A 20701-nucleotide genomic window follows, 5' to 3' on the forward strand; every position below is an offset into this window, starting at 1 on the left:
AGGCCTCTGGAACCACCAAGGATGAAAAGAAAAACTGTTTGCAAATATATAGTAAAGAGATACTGTAAAGGATCTGTGAAGAGGAAGAAAAATGGCAAATACTGAGAATATTAAGAGTAGAGATATGGTCAAAAATAAAGACACACACACACACACACACATGAATAACTGACCAAAGGATAAAAATATACTGTAGAAGAAGAGGAATCAACTAGTAGGCCTTGCCTGTGAAAATTTTATTGGTTTTATTTGGTCAGTGATATGGTTTGGCTGTGTCTCCACCCAAATCTCATCTTGAATTTTAGTTCCCAGAATGCCCACATGTTGTGGGAGGGATCCAGTGGGAGATAATTGAATCATGGGAGCGAATACCCCATATTACTGTTCTCATGGTAGTGAATAAGTCTCACAAGATCTAATGGTTTTATAAAAGGTTTCCCCTTTCACTTGGCTCCCATTTGTTCTTGTCTGCCACCATGTAAGACATGCCTTTTGCCTTCTGCCATGATTGTGAGGCCTCCCCAGCCATGTGTAACTGTGAGTCCATTAAACCTCTCTTTCTTTACAAATTATCCAGTCTCAGGTATGTCTTTATCAGCAGCATGAAAATGGATTGATACAGTCAGAAAGGAAACATATGTAAGAATAGTTTATAATAAATCTTAGTAGTAATATTTTTAATAGTAGGAAATTTTAAGCTTTAAAATATAAAAGTTGTGCTACTTATTTTATAATTAATAATTCAGTAGAATCTACATGTATAGTGTCATCTCAATTTCATTCTTATGCAATTTTCTCCTTTCAGTGTCCCATACAGGACATACTCACATCTGACATGATCTCCTGTACTTTTTTTTCTGTCTCAAAAAGCACAAAAATATCCACCTTCACCAAAGTGTCTTAAACTTTTTATGTTATGATTGTGGTTAAAAATACATATCACTGGGCTGGGCATGGTGACTCACACGTGTAATCCTAGCACTTTGGGAGGCTGAGGCGGGCGGATTGCCTGAGCTCAGGAGTTCAAGACCATCCTGGGCAACAGGGTGAAACCCCGTCTCTACTAAAATACAAAAAATAGCCGAGCAGAGAGCATGCTCCTGTAGTCCCAGTTACTTGGGAGGCTGAGGCAGGAGAATTCCTTGAACCCAGGAGGTGGAGGTTGCAGTGAGCCGAGATTGTGTCACTGCACTCCAGCCTGGGTGACAGAATGAGACTCCATCTCAAAAAAAATAAATACATATCATGAAATTTACTCTCTTTAAACATTGTTAAGTACAGAATTGTTATCTATGTGCACATTGTTGTACAGCAGATTTCTAGAACTTTTTCATCTTGCATGACTGAAACTCTATGCCATTTGAATAGCAAATGCCCATTTCCCCCTTCCCCAGACCCTGGCAACTACCATTCTACTTTTCATTTCTATGAGTTTGACCTCTTTGATTACTTCATATAAGTGGAACCACGCAGTATTTGCCCTTCTGTGACTGGCTTATTTCACTGTGCATAATGCCCTGAAGGTTCAGCCATGGTGTAGCATATGACAGCATTACCTTCTTTTCTAAGGCTAATTAGTATTCCATTGGTGGTACATAATACATGTTGTTTATCCCTTTATCCACCAATGGACATTTAGGTTGTTTATACATCTTGGCTATTGTGAAGGATACTGCAATGAATATGAAAGTACAAATATTGCTTCAAGATCCTGTTTTCAATTTTTTGGATAAATACCAAGAAGTGAGAGTGCTGGATCATATTTTGGTTCTTTTAAAAATTTTTCGAGTAACCTCCATACAGTTTTCTATGGTGGCCACACCATTTTACATTCCCACTAACAATCCTCATCAACACTTTTTATTTTCAGTTTTTTTTTTGTTTCATTCTAACAAGTGTGGTGTGATATCTGATTGTGGTTTTGTTTGCAGTTTCTTAATACTTTATGATGTTGGAATTCTTTCCATATACCTGGTAATCATTTGTATGTAGTCTCAGAAAAATGTCTATTTAAATCCTTTGTGCATTTTTAAATTGGCTTTTTTTCCTGCTATTGAGTTGTAGGCATTCCTTATATATTTTGGATATTAACCCCTTATCAGATATATGATGTGATGTTTAATTTTAGATGCCAACTTGACTGAATTAAGGAATACCCAAGTAGTTAGTAAAGCATTATTTCTGGGTATGTCTATGAGGGTGTTTTTAGAAGAGATTAGTATGCCAATTAATGAATTGAATAAAGAAGATCTGAACTCGCCCAGCATTGGCAGGCACCATCCAATTTAGGCTGAGGCCACCTAGATAAACAAAGAAGCAGAGGAAGGCAAGTTCATGCTCTCTCTCTTCTGAAACTGAACACCCATCTTCTTCAGCCCTAGATACTAGAAGTTAAGGTTCTCTAACCTTAGGTTTCTGGAGCTTGCACTGGAGACCCCAGTTTCTCAGGGCTTTGGTCTCAGACTGAGAGTTATACCATTGGCTCCTCTTGTTCTCAGGCATTTGGACTTGAATGGAGCCATGCTACTGGCTTCCGTGACTCTCCAGCTTTCAGGCCAGAATACTGTGGGACTTCACAGCCTCCTTAATTACGTGAGCTAATTCCTGTAACAAATCCCTTTTCAAATATCTATCTATAGATTTCCTATTGATTCTGTTTCTCTGGAGAACCATGACTAATACATATGGTTTGCAAATGTTTCCCCTCATTCCATAGGTTGCCTTTTCTCTCTGTTGATGGTTTTCCTTGTGTAGACGCTCTTTAGTTTGATATAGTCCCACTTGTTTATTTCTTCTTGTTGTTGTCTGTACTTCTAGTGACATATCTAAGAAATTCTTACCAAGAACAATGTTATGAAGTTTTCTCCTATGTTTTCTTTTAGGAGATTTATAGTTGCAGCTCTTACATTTAAGTCTTTAATCCTTTTTTGAGTTTTTTTTGTGTGTGTGTGGTATGAGTCCAAATGTATTGTTTTGCATATGAATATCCAGTTTCTCCAACACCATTTGTTGAAGAGACTGCCCTTTCTCCATTGTGTAATCTTGGCTTCCTTGCAAAAATATCTTTTGATTGTATATGTGTGAGTTTGTTTTTGGGCTTGTATTCAGTTCCATTAATCTAATGTCTGCATTTTTGCTGGTGTCATACTGCTTTGATTACTGTAGCTTTGTAATGTGTTTTGAGTCAGGAAGTATTAGTCTGCCAGCTTCATTCTTCTTTCTCAAGATTGTTTTGACTATTCAGGGGTCTTTTGTGATTCCATATGAATTTTAAGATGGGGTTTTCTACGAAAAAAAACACTGGAATTTTGAATAAGACAGCATTACTGTGTAGATCAGTTTGAATAGTATTGATATTTTAACAATATTTAGTCTTCCAATCCAAGAACATGGGATATCTTTCCATTTATTTGTGTCTTTAATTTTTCAGCAGTGTTGTGTAGTTCTCAGTATACAAGTCTTTTTCCTCATTGACTGAGTTTATTCTTAAGTATTTTAGTCTTTTTAATGCTATTGTGAATAAGATTGTTTTCATTTCCTTTTTGAACTGCTCAGTGTTAGTGTATAGAAATGCAATTGATTTTTGTATGCTGATTTTGTATTCTGCAACTTTGATGAATTTTTTTATTATTTCTAACAGGTTTTTGGTGTGATTTTTAGCATTTTCTACGTATAAGACCATGTCATCTGCAAACAAAGGTAATTTTACTTCTTTATTTTGAATTTGAATGCATTTTATTTATTTTTGTTGCCTAATTGCTCTAGTTAAGACTACTAGTACTATGTTGAATACAAATGGTAAGATGGGCATGCTTACCTTGTTTCTAATCTTAGAGGAAAAGCTTTCAGTTTTTCACCACTGAGTATAGTGTTAGCTATGAGATTTTTATATATGGTTTTTAATTACACTGAGATAATTTACTTCTATTCATAGTTTAGTGAGTATTTTATCATAAAAGTGTGTGAAATTTTGTCCAATGTTTTCTCTGCATCAATTGAGGTGATCATGTAATTTTTATCCTTCGTTCTGTTAAGATGGTATATAACATCGATTGGTTTTTGTATGCTGAATTATCCCTGCATTCCAGGAATAAATCCCACTTGGTCATGGTGCATGATACTTTCAATATACTTTTGGATTTCATTTGCTATTAATAATACTTTGTTGATGATCATTTGCATCTATATTCATCAGGGATATTGGCCTGTAATTTTCTTTTCTTGTAGTGTCTTTGTCTTAGTTTGGTATCAGGGTAATGCTGGCTTCATAAAACACATTTGAAAATATTCCCTCCTCTTTAATTTTTTTGGAAAAGTTTGAGAAGGATTTTCATTAATTTTTATTTAAATGTTCAACAGAATTCTCAGTGAAGCTATCTGCTCCTGGGCTTTAGTTTTTTGAGAGCTTTTGGAAAACTTATTCAATCTTACTAGTCATAGGTCTGTTCAGATTTTCTATTTCTTCATCATTCTGTCATGGTGGTTTGTATGTTTCCAGGAGTTTATTTCTTCTAGGTTATCCAATATATTGGTATATTATTTACAGTCATCTCTAATAACCCTCTTTATCTCTATGGTATCAGTTGCAATGTCTTCTTTTTAAATTTCTGATTATATTTATTTGAGTCTTCTGTTTTACTTTCAGTCCAGCTAAACTTTGACAATCTGGTGATCTTTTGGAAAGAATCAAGTCTTAGTTATGAATTTTTCTGTTGCTTTTCTTTTCTTTTGTTTGTTTCACATATTCCTAATCTTTTTCATTTTCTCCCTTCTGCTACTTTGGGCTTATTGTCTTCTTCTTTCTAGTTCCTTGAGATATAAAATTAGGTTGCTTATTTGAACTCTTTCTTCCTTTTTACCGTAGGCATTACTGCTATAAATTTGCCTTTTAGTATTGTTTTTGGTGCTTCCTATATGTTTTGATATGTTGTGTTTTCATTTTTATCTTAGCTATTTTCCAATTTCCCTTTTGATTTCTTCTTTGACTGGTTGCTTACTCCAGAGTGTGTTGTTTAATTTTCATATATTTGTGATTTTTTTTAAGTTTTCCTTTTGCTCTTGATTTTTAGTTTTAGTTCATTACGGTTGGAAAAGAAATTTGGTATGATTTCTACCTTCTTAAGTTTATTAAGATGTGTTTTGTGAGCTAACACGTGATATTTCTTGAAGAATGTTACATGTGCACTTCAGAATAATGTGTATTCTGCTGCTGTTGGATGGTTTGCTCTGTATATATTCATTAGATCCATTTGGTATACTGCTAAGTCCTGTGTTTCCTTAATGATCTCTACCCTTGATGTTCTATTCATTATTAAAAGAGGGGTATTGGAATCTCCTACTGTTATTGTGTTGTTATCTATTTTTCCTATCAATTCTGTGAATGTTTGCTTCATATATTTGAGTGTTCTGATATTGAGGGCATATATATTTATAGTTGTTTTATATTCCTGGTGAGTTTACCCTTTTATCATTATATAATTCCTTCCTCTGCCTCTTGTACAGTTTTTGACTTAAAGTCTATTTTGTTGGATATAAGCATGGCCACTCCTTCCCTCTTTTGGTTATTATTTGCATAGAATCTTGTTCCATCCTTTCACTTTCAGCCTATATGTCCTTAAATTTAAAGTGAGATTTTTGTAGACAACATTTACAGTAAAAGCATCTCCAATTCAAAAATTCAAAATTTGAAATGCTCCAAAATACTCAACTATTTTAGGGCTGATATGATGTTGCAAGAAGATGCTAATTGGAGCATTAAAGACTTTGTATTTTCAAATTTTAGATGCTTACCTGGTAAGTATAATGTAAATATTCCAAAATCCAAAATAATCTGAAATTGAAAACACTTCTGGTCTTGAGCATTTTGGATACAGGATACTCAACCTGTAGTTTCATCTTGTTTATTTTATTTTATTATCTATTTAGTCATTGTCTTTTAATTGGCTAGTTGAACCTATTGTCATCTAAAAGAACTGCTGATAAAGAAGGACTTATATTGCTATTTTGTTAATTGTTTTCTCTCTGTCTTGTACTTTTTTGTTCCTCTTTTTCTTTCTTGCCATCTTCCTTTATATTTTGTTAATTTTTTGTAGTGACATGCTTTGATTCATCTCTTGTATTATTTTGTAAATCTTCTATAGGTATTTTCTTTGTGATTACCATGGGGCTTCCAGAAAACATAACAATCCCCATAGCTTAGCTCCCACTTATAAGTGAGAACATACAATGTTTGGTTTTTCATTCCTGAGTTACCTCACTTAGAATAATAGTCTCCAACTCCATCTAGGTTGCTATGAATGCCATTATTTCCTTCCTTTTTATGGCTGAGTAGCATTCCATGGAGTATATATACCACATTTTCTTTATCGACTTGGTTGATGCACATTTAGGCTGGTTCTGTATTTTTACAGTTGTGAATTATGCTGTTATAAACATGAAGTACAAGTGTCTTGTCTTTTTCATTTAATGACTTATTTTCCTTTGGGTAGATACCCAGTAGTGAGATTGCTGGATTGAATGGTAGTTCTAATTTTAGTTCTTTAAGAAACATCCATACAGTTTTCTGTAGTGATTGTAGTAGTTTCCATTTCTATCAGCAGTGTAAAATGGCTCCCTTTCCACTGCATCCACTCCAATATCTTTTTTTTAAATTTTTAAATTATGGAGTAATGTGGTATCTCATTGTGGTTTTGATTTGCATTTTCCTAATAATTAGTGACATTGATCATTTGTGCATATGTTTGTTGGCCATTTATATATCTTCTTTTGAGAATTTTTTATTTACGTCCTTTGCCCACTTTTTGATGGGATTTTTTTTTTTCTTGCTGATTTGTTTGAATTCCTTGTGGATTCTGGATATTAGTCCTTTGTTAGATGCATACTTTGCAGATATTTTCTCCCACTTTGTGGGTTGTCTGTTTACTCTGCTGATAATTTCTTCTATTGTGCAGAAGCTTTTAGGTTAATTACATCCCATTTATTTATTTTTGTATTTGTCACATTTGCTTTTGGTTCTTGTTCATAAACTCCTTGCTTAAGCCAATGTCTAGAATAGTTATTCTTATGTTATCTTCTGGAATTTTTACAGTTTCAGGTCTTAAATTTAAGTCTTTGATCCATCTTCAGTTGATTTTTGTATAAGGTGAGAGATGAAGATCCAGTTTCATTCTCCTACATGTGGCTTGCCAGTTATCCCAGCACCATTTGTTGATTAGGGTGTCTTTCCCCACTTTGTGTTTTTGTTTGCTTTGTTGAAGATCAGTTGGCTATAAGTATTTGGCTTTATTTCTGGTTTCTCTATCCTGTTCCATTTGGTCTATGTGTTTATTTTTATGCTAGCACCATGATGTTTTGTTAACTATAGCCTTGTAATATAGCTTGAAGTGAGGTAATGTGATATATCCAGGTTTGTTCTTTTTGCTTAGTCTTGCTTTAGCTATGTGGGCTCTTTTTTGGTTCCATATGAATTTTGGGATTGTTTTTTCTAGTTTTGTGAGAAATGATGATGGCATTTTGATGAGAATTGCATTGAATCTGTAGATTGCTTTTTGCAGTATCATCATTGTATTAGTCAGGGCTCCCAAGAGGGACAGAACTGATAGGAGATATATATATATATATAAATATATATATATATATATATATATAGATATATATATATCCCGTTATATATCATATAATGATATATATATATATCCCGTTATATATCATATAATGATATATATATATCCCGTTATATATCATATAATGATATATATATCCCGTTATATATCATATAATGATATATATATATCCCGTTATATATCATATAATGATATATATATCCCGTTATATATCATATAATGATATATATATCCCATTATATATTATATAATGATATATGTGTGTGTGTGTATGTGTGTGTATTTACTAATACCTATGAGTTTTCTACCTCAAATGATTTCTTATTGCTTGTTAACATCCTTTTCTTTCAGACTGAAGAACTCTCCTTAGAATTTCTTGTAGGACAGATCTGGTGTTAATGATTATCTATCTATCTATCTATCTAGATATATAGTTTTGTCATTAATTTAAAATAATGGGTTATAAGATGTTACTTACCTCAAATGATGCACCCGCTTCAGCCTCCCAAAGTGCTGGCATTTCAGGTAAGTACCACCACGCCTGGCTAATTTTTTATTTTTAGTAGAGGTGTGGTTTCACCATGTTGGTCAGGCCGGGCATGGTGGCTCACGCCTGTAATTTCAGCACTTTGGGAAGCCAAGGTGGACAGATCATTTGAGGTAAGTAACATCTTACAGTGCATTATTTTAAATTAATGACAAAACTGATTGCAAAAACACACTAATGAACAAACAAAAATAAAATTAATAAAATCTCTACACTTTAATTTCCTCTCCCCCACTTTTTAACTTTTTGTTGTTTCTGTTTATATCTTGTTATACTGTCTATGTTTTCAAATTGTTGTAGTTATTATTTTTGATATGCTCATTTTTAGTCTTTCTACTCAATGTGTGAGTAGATTGTACTCTAGTTACAGTGTTATAATATTCTATGTTTGTCTGCATATTTACTAGTACCTATGATTTTTGTACCTCAGATGATTTCTTATTGCTTGTTAACATCCTTTTCTTTCAGACTGAAGAACTCTCTTTAGTATTTCTTGTAGGACAGGTCTGGTGTTAATGAAATACCTCAGTTTTTGTTTTTCTGGAGAAATCTTTATTTCTTCTTCATGTTTGAGGGATAGTTTTGCTGGATATACTATCCTAGGATAAAAGTTTTTTTTTTTTTTTTTCTTTTAGCATTTTAAATATGTCATTCCACTCTCTCCTGGCCTGGAAGGTTTCCACTGAGAAGTCTGCTGCCAGATGTATTTCAGCTCCTTTGTATGTTACTTGTTTATTTTCTCTTGCTGCTTTTAGATCCTTCCTTTGTCCTTGACCTTTGGGAGTTTGCTTATTAACTACTTTGAGGTAGTCTTATTTGAATTAAATCTGCTTGGTGTTTTATAAACCTCCTGTACTTGAATATTGATATCTTTCTCTAGGTTTGGGAAGTTCTCTGTTATTATTTGAATATTTTTATATATGCTGTCGTATATATTATACGGCTTTTTCCTGATCCTAGTCTTTAGCAAAATTTCTTTTTTCTTAATTGTCAGTTTTTATTTTTAATAAACTATAAGCTCTGTGAGGACATGAACCATGCCAGGCTTGGTGAATAATAATGACTATTAAAAAATTATTTCAATCTCTGTTAAATTTATCTGATGGGATTCTGAATTTCTTCTCTGTGATATCTTGAATTTTGCTGAGCTTCCTCAAAGCAGCTATTTTGAATTCTTTTTATGAAAGGTCACACATCTGTCACTCTAGGATTGGGCACTGGTACCTTATTTGGTTTGTTTGATGAGGTAATGTGTTACTGGATGGTCTTAATTCTTGTGGACATTTGTTAATGTCTGGGCATTGAAGAGTTAGGTATTCATTATTGTCTTTGCAGTCTGGGCTTTTTATATCCATTCTTCCTGGGAAAAATTTCTAATTATTCAAAGGGAATTGAATGTTGTGATCTAAATCTTTGGTCATTGCAGCCATATCTACATTTGGGGCATCCCATACCCAGCAACACTGTGATATTTGTCAACTCATAGAGGTATTTCCTTGGTTGTCTTGGCTAAGATCTGGGAGAAGTCCCTAGATTACCAGGAAGAAACCCTTGTTCTCTTCCCTTAGTTTCTGCCAATGAAACAGATTCTCTCTCTGCTGAGCTGCCTGGAACTAGTGGAAAGGTGACACAAACACCCCCATTGGCCACCAACACTGGGATTGCATGAGGTGATATCCAAAGCCAGCACTGCAGTGGGTCTTGGCCAAGGCCTGTAATGACCCCTTGTTGGGCACCACCTTGGTTCACTCAAGGCTCAAGCACTCTTCATTCAGCAGGTAATAAATCCTGCCAGGCTTGTGTCCTATCCTTCAGCATGATGAACTCTGACTGGCCCAGAGCAGGTCCTGGAATGTTGTCCAGGATCCAGTGCCTAGAGTTGGGAACATTAGGAATCTACTTGGTGCTCTGTTCTACTGCAGCTGAGCTGGCACCCTAACTGCAAGACAAGTCCTACCCACTCTTCTTCCCTCTCCTTTCCTCATGCAGAAAGAGTCTCACTCCATGGCCACTACTGCTACAGGTTTATGGCACTTACTACTCGACTACCACTGATGTCCACTTAAGGCCTAAGGGCTCTTCAGACATTCTGGTGAATGCTGCCAGGCCTGAGTCTCCCCCTTCAGGGAAGTGGACTCCCATCTGGCCCAGGGTAGGTCCAGAAATGCCATCCAGGACCCAAGCCTGGAATTGGGAATCCCAGGAGCCTGGCTGGTGCTCTATACCCCGTGGCTGTGCTGGTGCCCAAGCTGCAGAGCAAAGTCCCCTTTACTCTTCCCTCTCCTTTCCTCAAACAGAATGCATCTCTCCCTTTGGCTATCATAGCTGATAATGATGCACTGGATCATACCTGAATCCAGCATTATCCTGAGTCTCACCCAAGGCCTGTGGTGATAACTGCCTGGGTACCACTGATATTTACTCATGGTCCAAGGGCTCTTTAGTCAGCAGGTGATGAATCCTGCCAGGACTTGGTCCTTCTTTTCAAGGCAGTGGGTTCCCTTCTGACCCAGGGTATGTCTAGAAATGTCAGTGAGGAGCTAGAGCCTGGAAGAGGAGCCTTAGGACTCTGCCTGGTGCTCTATTCTACTGTAGCTGAAATGGTACCAAGTTATAAGGCAAAGTCCTCTTTATACTTCCTTCTCTCCTCAAGCAGAGGAAAGAAATGCCTCCCAGAGCTGTGGTCTGTGCTGCCTGGGGTTGGGGGAGGAGTGATGCAAGCACTTGCTTGGCCACCCCACCTGGTGTCTCACTAGGTCATGTGTACTCCAAGTCCACTGTCTCTGAGCCCAGCATAGCACCAGGACTTGCCCAGGAATTGCAGTCCTTGTGGCCTTGATACGTTTCAAGAGCGTGTTAGCCTGCATTGCTGGGGCTAGTCAGAACTTGGGTTCTGACCCCTGAGGTGGGTGATGCACCTGCAGCTAGGGTTGGTTTAAATGCTCCCTCCATGAGCACTGGCTGAATTCTGCCCCATATTGGTTTCTGCTGTGACAGAGCAGCACTGAGTTCCAATGCAATGCTTCACAATAACTGTGCTCTCTCTCCCCCAAGCACACAAATTCTCTCTCTGCACTGTGTGGCCCCTCCGGAGGGATGGTGAGGGGGTTGGTGTCAGCAATTTAAGACTGTTTTCAACCATCTTTAGTGCCTCTTAACTTGATATGATGTTAAAACCAGGTAGTGTAATTGCTTATTTTAGTTTTGGTTATTATGAAGATGCTTTCTCGTGTGGATAGTTATTCAGTCTGGTGTTCCTGCAGGGGAGGTGATGGTCAGAGGCTTCTATTTGATCATCTTGCTCTACCTCCTTATGCATCTATGTTTTTTACGTTAAAATATCTGAAAGGTAGTTTTATAGCTTAATTTAGACCCTCATGTCTTTGTGGGAAATCAGTGACCTGGAAAATGTTTAGAAACTGTGCTTATGTGCACTGGCTAAGTATATAAAAAGCAGCCTATCCAAATATTTATTTAGTTTCACTGCTTTTGGGCTTTTCTCTCTCCTACCTATTTGGTGAAGCAAGTGAAATTATGTGTGTGCACAAGCATTTGTTCATTAACTTAGTCATTTGTTCATTCAATAAATATTTTCTATATTTACAATAAATACTATGTTAGGCTCTGTTCTGAGGGGTACTAGGTACCTAATCATAAGGGCTAATTTTTATTTGCTGCATACAATGTATGACACTTTGCTGAGTGTATTACATGTATAATTATCTTTCACAAAAAATCTGTAAAGTAAATACTATTTTCCCCATTTTTATAAGGAGAAAGAGAGTTAGAGATTGTATGGAAATAGAAAAATGGTAAATCTGGTCTTGGTAACTGGAAACCAGGTCTTGATGTCATCACTGGATCAAGCTTCATCTAAACTGAGTTCAACTGCTGGAAATTTTAGTTATATTGGGCCAACAAGTCCCTTTTATCATTTGAACCAGTTTGAATGGGATTTAATGCCACCAAACCAAAGCATTATAACTGATACCCTTCAAATTCTATGTCATCCTGCTTCAAGTATAACCAAAGCTATATTATATTGCTTCACATTTCACGAAGCCTGACATGGTTCATGTCCTCATGGAGCTTATAGTTTATTAAATAAAAAACTGACAAATAAGAAAAAAGATTGTTGAAGACTAGGATCAGGAAAGAGAAAGATAATGTATATGACAGTACATATAAAAACTATTCAAATTGGTATAAAATGAGGTGGCCCACTAGGAGGTGAACAAGAATAGGCAAACACAGATTTTATACATCTCCAGTTTTTATCATCATTTTTTCCTCTTTCCTTTCCATCTTGTCATTTTGTTGAAAATTTCTATGACATTTAATTAAAATGAAAAGTTAAGGGAAAGCCCATCTTCCTAATTTTCCAAATTGTAAACCATTCTTGTCCCATCCTTGTTGAAGGAGCCCTTTATTCAACTAGCATGCACAGCTCATGTAAAAATTAAATAAACAACACATTTTCATACTTTTTTTTTTGTTTTTTGAGATGGAGTCTCACTCCGTTGCCCAGGCTGGAGTGCAGTGATGCAATCTTGTTTCGCCACAACCTCTGCCTCCTGGGTTCAAGTGATTCTCGTGTCTCAGCCTCCCGAGTAGCTGGGATTACAGGCACCTACAACCATACCCAGCTAATTTTTGTATTTTAGTAGAGATGGGATTTCCCCATGTTGGCCAGGCTGGTTTAGAACTCCTGACCTCAGATGATCTGCCCGCCTCGGCCTCCCAAAGTGATGGGATTGCAGGTGTAAGCCACCGCACCCAGCCTCACTTTTCCATACTTCTGCTAAGCAGAGAAACTATTGGACTTCTGACTTGAGAAGCCCTTGGGAAATGAGCCCTTGTGGTATCCAAGGAGACAGTAAAATTTTTCCAAAAGCTTCTTACCATAGCTATTACCACATTCTGTAGGTGCTCAGATTATTTATGGTTTTCCCTCTAATTCCGTAATCTCTACCCATTTAACTTACTTTTTATTTTGCTACACTCCTTTCCTTACATTAGTCAAATAAAGATATTCAAAACATGCTCATCTTTTTAATATTAATAGCTATCATTTATCAAATTAAAGGGCATTTTATGGTTCAGGCACTATCTAAGTACCTTAAATGCAATAACTCATCATAACAGTCTTACAAAGCACATCATTAGCCCTATTTTATAAATAAAAGACCCAAAGGATTATGTTCTGATTGTTTTAGGTGTTGGATCTGAGAATTGAATGCAAAGTCCAGCTCCAGAGTGTACATTCCCAGCATTACTCACTTTATTTAGATCTCATGTATCTAGATATTAAGGAGAATTATCCTTGTTCAGTTTAAACAAAATCAACAAAACGTGTCTTTGTTTTCAGTCCACTTTCACAAAAATTTGTATCTGATCTATGATTTTTTAATTATTTACTCGGATATCATATGCTGTCTAATTTTCCTTTAATTTATTCTTCTTTTTAAGATGACAACTCTTAGTGTTATGATGTAAAAAATTAATCCTGGTATACATTTTCCATGAACTAAAATTGCTCGATATAGAGAAATCTTCCATATGAGATTGACTTCCCCTTCCACTTTTAGACTGAAGGTATTTATTTCCTTTCTACTGGTCCTCTGTAGTGTTCTATGTTCTTAAACCTGAACCTTCTTTACTTAAGTTAGAAATGTTTCTAGCCTATTCACTTCTCTTCCTCCTACCTCTGATGCACAGAAATCCTGCTGCCATTGTTCTGGCCTGATACAGGGAAAGGGAAGAACTTATTGCCATATCTGTAGGGCTGGATTTGTTGAGACTGTTTCTAGCATCTCGAGTTGGAATTCAAATTCTTCACTTAAATGATGTTATATTATTGAGTCTTAACAATCATTTCTCAAAGCATGGATTCCTGCATCAGAATCACCAAGGGTGCTTATTAAGGAAGCAGGTTCATAGGCCTCACCCCAGATCTACTCAGTTAAAATCTCTATGGATGTTGTTCCTAAATCTACATTTTTAAGAAGATAAATATAAAACCCAGTGTTTCCATTCCTTCCTAGAATTTAAGAATAGCTTCAGCAGAAGGGGAGTTTTGTAGATTATCCTGAGAACTTGTGTAGTATTAAGTAGTTTAAAGTTAGGAGTTGGTTATTTAAAATCCCCCACTGCCTTATTAAAAGTTGAATTCTGGTAGCTGGATAATTCTTTGTTTGCTGAGAAAAATGATGGATATGGAAATGTTAGTTTTGGAGATAGAAGCTGGTGCTACATTTAATTATCCTTCTGATACAGGGCATATATTGGGGTGTGAAGTAGGCAGGGAAAGAGGGAAAGGAAGATAATTCTCCAAGAGGAAAGAGAGTAGGTGGCCGGTCTCTGTGTTATTGAGGGTAGCAAAGAATGACTGCTTGATGGAACAGCCGAAGAGATTCGGGGGACTGGGGAGAGGCTGTTGCAAAAGGGTACTTTCAAGTGAAATGCTGCATGTTACAGTATGAATAATTGCTTTGACCCCATCAATATTCAGAAAAAGTATAAAGCCCATAATTCACTTGAAGAGGTAAGCTCTTTTGAGAAAGCTGATGATGGTGTAAGATTCCTTCCAGGTTGTTACAGGTCAAAACAGAGTCCACCTACGTATGCGAGTTGGCAGCTGTACATCCTGGGGGATGATCAATATATAGAAGCTATGAGAATATTTCATACACCTACCAACCCTTCCAGATCTCCAAGCTATCTGTATTGTTTTGTATTTTAAGGGTGGGGAATGAGGAGAAGGAGATAATGGCCTGGACTAGAAGGTATAAAAGGATTGAGATGGAGACAACTGAACAGAAATTGGGAGCTATGGTCAAAATTCTGGTGGGAAGAAGAGGTGTTTATTGTGTCAGGTAGAAGCAGAGACAAGATTGAATTCGGTAAGATTTCATTCATGTTAAATTAAAGACATGTCAATTTAGTTTTGGTTTCTGCAGAGGATAACAACTGTAAAATGAAAGATGGAACTAATAATAGTTGGACCAAAGAAACGGATACAAACTGGACTGGCTGCTGGTGTGAGCAGACCAAGATGTAAGCTCAGCCTGCTTCTGCAAGACAGCTGACTTCTGGTTCTCTCTTTGTCCTCTAGGACTCTTTCTTCAGAGTGCCCACAGTCTTTTTTTTCCTATTTTTCATTCATATTTTATATTCTTCAGCCTTCTATGAGGTTCTCTTTTCTTTTTACATCCAGCCAGTTCTCAGTCAGGTCAGTTCCACCACTTTATTACCTCCTTCTACTCTCTTATCTCCATTCCTTCTGTAGATAAAGACCTACTCATTGCCCACTTGGGTTACTAAAATAGGTCCTAACAGATTCCCTTCTCTCCAGTCTAGTCCTTCTTTCTCTCCACTGGATGGTGTCTGATCATTGCATGCACAATTGTCTTAATGTCAATTTGCTGCGTAAAGTCGATCAATGGCTTCCCACTCATTTCAATTAAGTAACAAACTTCTTAGCATGACATAAAGGGCTTTTCATAAGTCACTCTTCTAACCTCTCCAACAGCAATTTTAGTCTTCTCCCTAAATGCAATCCTCTAACTTCCCACATCTGCATCATATTCTCTCCACCTCTCAGCCTTTGTGCATGTTCTCCTGGCTGGTTGTAAACACACCCCCTTCTCCATCATTCAACAGGAGAACCCCTAGCCTCATATTTTGGGTTCTTTTGCCTTTTTGGCAAACCAACAGGAGATTCTAAGAAATGTGTTAAGTTCTAACTCTGTGAGATTCTATTGGCATGTTTATGGGAAGCTAGTCTTATATTATAATAACTATTGATTACTGTTAACATTAAGTTTGTTAATTAATCATTAACCAATACAGTGTGCTCAGCATTGAGTTAGGCCTTGGAGAAAAAGATGAGCAAGAGATAGCTTCTGCCTTTGTGGAAATCACAGTAGAAAGGGGTGATGAATATGACTAAAAGCCACGCAACATGATAGGGGCTACAACAGGGCTCTAAAATCACGCAGGAGGAAATGGCCAGGTTTCCTAGGGAGTTGGATATGACTTCACAAGCACTTATACCCCTTAGACAAGCCCTTATACCCCACTATATTAGTTAGGGTTCTTTTAGAGGGACAGAACTAGTTGTGTGTGTATACACACACACACACACACACACACACACACATATTGGAGTTTAAATATTAACTTACACGATCACAAGTTTATTAACTTACACGATCACAAGTACTATTCATATATGTATATATACTAATAGTATATTGTATATATATGGGAGTTTATTAAGTATTAACTTACATGATCACAAGAGCTATTAGTATATTTACATACACTGATAGTATATATATATATACACACTAATAGTATATATATACTCATAGTATAGATATATACACTAATAGTATATATATACTCATAGTATAGATATATACACTAATAGTATATATATACTCATTATATATATATATAGAGAGAGTTTATTAAGTATTAACTTACATGATCACAAGTTCCCACAATAGGCTGTCGGCAAGCTGAGGAGCAAGGAGAGCCAATTTGAGTCCCAAAACTGAAGAATGTGGAGTCCGATGTTCCAGGGCAAGAAGTATCCAGCACGGGAGAAAGATGTAGGCTGGCAGGATAGGCCCGTCTGTCCTTTTCACGTTTTTTCTGCCTGCTTCATATTTTCTGGCAGCTGATTAGATGGTGCCCACCAGATTAAGGGTGGGTCTGCCTTCCCCAGCCCACTGACTCAAATGTTAATCTCTTTTGGCAACACCCTCACAGACACACCCAGGATCAATACTTGGATTCCTCAATCCAGTCAAGTTGACACTCAAGTTAACCATCACACCTGCCTTAAAAAACTAGTAGGGTTTGTCAGGCAGAGAAGGAAGAAAGGAAACTTCAGGCAAAGGGAATTAGCATATTGTAAAAATCAGCCTTAATATTATTATTTTATTTTTGAATGCTGCTGCTAACACTGTTGTTTCAACTTTCTCACCATTATTAGCAAGCCCTTCACTTGACTTAATGGGAGTGGTGTTTGTTCATTTTTACTAGACACATTTACTCATTTCATGGCTGGTGTTGTGTTGGTTTATATTCACTGCCTGCTGGTCCCTCTTTACTTTCTGTGTGGTCACACACAATTTTGAAAGTCTTTTCATGAGCAGTGGTCTATACAAGTTTCAATCAGCAAAATCACAGCTCTATTAAACCTTGCTGATTCTAGTTTGTCACCATGAAAAGCTTCTTGCTTCCTTTGTAGATGTAAATGTATATAACATTCAGTGCTTGTGGTTTTATTTGGAGTGTTTGGATATATTTACATTTTTGCTTAGGAAAGCATCTTTCTGAACTGTGACTACAAACTGTGAATTCCACTAGGAAACAGGTCTTCAGAATATTGGCAAGGCTCTCATATTCACTGTTATCTCTATTTAAATATCTTTGGGATTTGTCTGTGGAACACATATGTTCTTATTAATTGATTACACATTAATAAAAATGATAACAAGTTAACAGTTACAGATACTTTTTCAGTGGAAGTGCTAGCATGATAAAACAGGCTCAGTGAAACTTCTGTTCCATTGGATTCTACTTAACTGAACATGAAGAAACAGTTTAGTTACTCTAGTTTAAAAATAAGGGAATTTCATAATGGTCTATTTAAACTGTCTGCAAAAGAAGTTACAGTGATTTTTCTGGCATTCTCTCCCTCGTAACCTCCTTCCACACTCATTTTGTCTTTATGTCAGCCTATTTGGTTTAGTTTTTTTCAACTATAATAATAATTACCATTATTATAGACACTTATATTTGCTACTTATATATGAATCCAAATAGTCTAGTCTGAGGGATGGTGATCTTAATTACTGTGTTAAACTACACAGTATTAAATATTCTTTATGTTCACAATACCTATTGCAGGAGTTTAGTTTATTAGATGGCACAGAGAACCCCAGTTCACTCAAAATGTACCTTATCTTAAACTGGACTTGAGGAGCTGGGTCACTGGAAGTGGTAGGAGTAAGAATACAGGACTTGTCACTTTTGGTAATAGCCATGTCTGTATTTCTACTACCAATCTCAAATGTATGTTATCACATAATTCAATAATTATGGCTGAATAAGTGAGTGAGTAAATGAATAGTTAACATTGCACGGGACATAAGGTCCTCCAGTCATTTATGTCATTGATAAGTAGCTTTTTCAGGTGACTCTTGGAAGTAAGCAAACTCACTACACTAGTAACTCCTTGCATTGCCAATATTAGGCAGTCCCAAGAGAGCTGAGATGGAAGAACAGGAAATAGGAGAAGCATGCAGTTATCACAGTTATATTTCTTCAAGTTGATAAAATGGAATCATTATTTTTGTAATGAGCTCTATGCTTAGATTTCTATCTTTCTTTTAAGTGGTTTATTTCCAATAATTTTCTTTTCTTTAAGTTTAGGGACACAGTAGTCTTTCAAGAAGAATTATTTCAGTTCAACTTTAGAGTTAAAAGACACAGGACAAGGGAGCTAATCTCAAGTCTTTGATGATGAATTTAGAGGTGAAATCAGACTACCTGCCTACTCTCTTCCTGCAGTTGAGCAACTCACCATGACCAGAGGAAAACACACAACTGACTTAATCTCATTTTAAAACTATGACAATAAGCCTCATTTAGACATACAGTGCTGCTTGATAATCCTATTACACTTTCCTAGCATAGTAATCTTCTTACTTTCTAAAATGACCATTTTACCCTTTCTCGTGTTTGATAAGTCCCCTAAAATTACTCCTCATTCTCAGCTGATCATTGTCCTCGAATTTAGTTTGAAATTAGTGGTAAATAGGAACTTTCTCATCTTCCTACCACTAGATCTACTTACCTACTATGTTTGTCAATCCATGCCCATGGTCATCTTCCTGTTGAAGGCCAATTCTTCTACTTCGGATCTGAATTCTAGGCTTCCTGCCTTCTCAAGGACTTTGCTTCTGCAATAGTTCCCCTCTCTATTCGTCATAGAGATTCTTTCTCCTCTAGAGGAATTTCAATCAGCATATGAATATGCGATAACATTTCCTAGTCCAGACAAGAAACACGTGCTTGACACACATCTGTCTCAAGCTGCAGCCCCATTTCTCTGATCATTTTTATAGTTTTGTAGTTATCTATAACTGCTATCTCTAGCTTTCTCACCACACTTTCTCTCCTCAAACTCCTCCTCCACATATGTAAATCTAACAGTCACATCTCTGTCCTATTTTACTTGAACACTAAGCAGCATTCAAGACAGTTGGTCACCCTCTCCTTTTTAAGGCAATATTCAATCGGTATAGCAGTTAGCTATTGCTTCATAACGCATCACCCTAAAACTCAGTGGCTTAAAATGTTTATTATTGCTCATGAGTCTATGAGTTTTCCGGGTGGCTCATACGATGTCCTCTTTGCTCATGCCTGCATTCATGGTCGGTGGCAGGTAATGTGGCTGTGCTGATTTAGGCTGGACTCTGACATGTTGGGGGTTGGCTAGACCTAGAATGGCCTCAGCTGGGATATTTCAAAGGTGGCAGCTTTCTGCACACTCTGGCCAACTCTCTTCTACTAGCTCTATCCATCTAGAAAGTAATGGCTGTGATGCATTGATGACAATTCCTGACTTTGTGTGTATTTGTGTGCTAACATCGAGAATAAAAACCGAAATCCTTGCATTCCTTTGCAAGCCTGTAAATTGCATGGTTTTGTTTTTAAGTGCAATGGAAATGAGTAAGAACTCAATGGAATAATTTTTCATTTTGTAGTTTCTGATTGTGCAAAGGATCAAAACAAGGGTAAAGACCAATTAAAAACATGCTAACACTATTCTATTTCTGTGTGAAGATCTATCGGAACAGAAAAAGCCTTTTAGTATAAGTATACGTACAAAAAAGTCAACTTTTTTTCTGTGACTGAGAAAGCTCTCACAGATAAGTGAGCTAGCTCTGAAATACATAAAACCTTTTCATATGTAAATAAAGTAAAACCTGGCAGCTCTACCATCTGTGAAGGTGTGAGAGTTCTTAGAAAATGACTCATTCAGTTAGGCAAAGATGTGAAACCATATTTGAATGTAAAAATATGCAAACTACACAGAATCTAGGATATTGGGGGCAGCAACAGCACATACTCTTAACAATACAGTGTTTAGAATAAACGTGAGATTGTTGAGAAATTGACAAATACTACAGTAGTGAATGAAAAAACTAAAAGTAATAAATACTGCTTTTGAAAAATTGGTCTGACTTAGTATGTAAAAATAAGTGTTAAAGGGCCTACAGAGATCATTTATTTCAACACCATTTTCAGATTACAGCACTAAAAAAGAATCGTAGGCCCAGAGAGGTTGAGTGAGTTGCCAATAGGACATAGAAAGCTTGTGGCGCTGGCAGGACTGGATGTACAGTGTGCTGATGCCTAAGTCTCATCTCTTTCTTCTAGACCTGGCTCCTCTTTACTTCTGAGAAAAATCCTCTACTGACTTTAATGTGTTTCTATAGTATTTAGGGCC

The 20701-nt window shown here is 36.5% G+C and overlaps 1 long non-coding RNA gene across 1 annotated transcript in view; it reads right to left on the bottom strand.

The window, feature by feature from the left end:
* Positions 1-19302, bottom strand: part of LOC105371677 (uncharacterized) — a 67447-nt gene extending 48145 nt beyond the window's left edge. The window contains exon 1 of the long non-coding RNA XR_922398.3: positions 19043-19302. This is a non-coding gene — a long non-coding RNA (uncharacterized LOC105371677). The remainder of the gene's footprint in view (positions 1-19042) is intronic.
* Between the last annotated feature and the right edge of the window lie 1399 nt (positions 19303-20701).

Source organism: Homo sapiens, chromosome 1 (assembly GCF_000001405.40).
Source record: "Homo sapiens chromosome 1, GRCh38.p14 Primary Assembly".
In the NCBI taxonomy this organism is placed as follows: Eukaryota; Metazoa; Chordata; class Mammalia; order Primates; family Hominidae; genus Homo; species Homo sapiens.